This window comes from Homo sapiens, chromosome 16, assembly GCF_000001405.40.
Source record: "Homo sapiens chromosome 16, GRCh38.p14 Primary Assembly".
NCBI lineage: Eukaryota > Metazoa > Chordata > Mammalia > Primates > Hominidae > Homo > Homo sapiens.
In genome coordinates, this window is record NC_000016.10 from 57,872,639 (window position 1) to 57,873,661 (window position 1,023).

Consider the following 1,023-nt stretch of genomic DNA (forward strand, 5'->3'; position numbering starts at 1 on the left):
AGTGCTGTGGTTACAGGTGTGAGCCAGCGCACCTGGCCCTGATTTTAAAACTTATTACTTACATTTGACTTATATGTGGAAGTTTTCCATGGTATCTGAATTATTCTTTTGAACCTGCCTGGAAACACTTCACGTGACCCTCTCCTCTACCCACTTTTCATTAAGGAACACTTGATTTCAGAAATTTGGAAATGCGGCTGGGTGCGGTGGATCATTTGAGGTCAGGAGTTCAAGACCAGCCTAGCCAGCATGGTGAAACACTGTCTCCACTAAAAATACAAAGATTAGCCGGGCGGTAGTGGCGCGCACCTGTATTTCTAGACACTCTGGAGGCGGAGGCAGGAGAATTGCTTTAGTCTGGGAGGCGGAGGTTGCGGTGAGCCAAGATTGCACCACTGCACTCAAGCCTGGGCGACAGAGCGAGACTCTGTCAAAAAAAAAAAAAAAAAAAAAAAGAAAAGAAAAAAGAAAGGAAGGAAGGAAGGAAAGAAAAGGAAGAAATTTGGAAATGTGAAAGGTGGGGACCCAGTCTCCCGAGACTCTTGATAATGCGCTCTGGAGCCATTTGTCTAGTTAACTGCCTTGATTAGAAAGGATCCTAAAGCTTCTCTCACCTCCCTCCGGGAGACGGCCAAATGGCCACAGCCGAGCCTAGGTCTCTTGGCTAGCTCCAAAATGCCGGGAAGACTCCGGCGCTATCTCCCTAGGTATTTATATGTCAAAGGGAGAAAGTCCCAGAACTTGAAGACCCCTCCAGGTGGTTAAAGCTGAGACACCTGGGGCTATCTCGTTCCGGGTGAGGCTTTATTTACATATCAAAGGGCTGGGGTTAGGTTTCGGGCCCATTAAGTTTCCAAGGAGACCCTTTCAAAAAGGGAGGGGAATAGCTACCTCCTTCGCCTTTATAAGCAGAGAAAACTTGTCCTTCATCTATGGAGTGTCAGGCTACTTGCACGGGACATTTCCTGGCCAGGAGTAAGGCTTAAGGGGAGGCTGGGAGCGGAGGCTATGTACTTATTATTT

At 47.7% G+C, this 1,023-nt stretch overlaps 1 annotated feature.

The window, feature by feature from the left end:
- Positions 496-1,023: an enhancer, noted in NCBI's record as "NANOG hESC enhancer chr16:57907038-57907565 (GRCh37/hg19 assembly coordinates)". NCBI's record gives its function as "activates a minimal SCP1, AML or CMV promoter by ChIP-STARR-seq in primed H9 embryonic stem cells {active_cell/tissue: H9 hESC(primed)}" and the evidence as "EXISTENCE:reporter gene assay evidence [ECO:0000049][PMID:30033119]".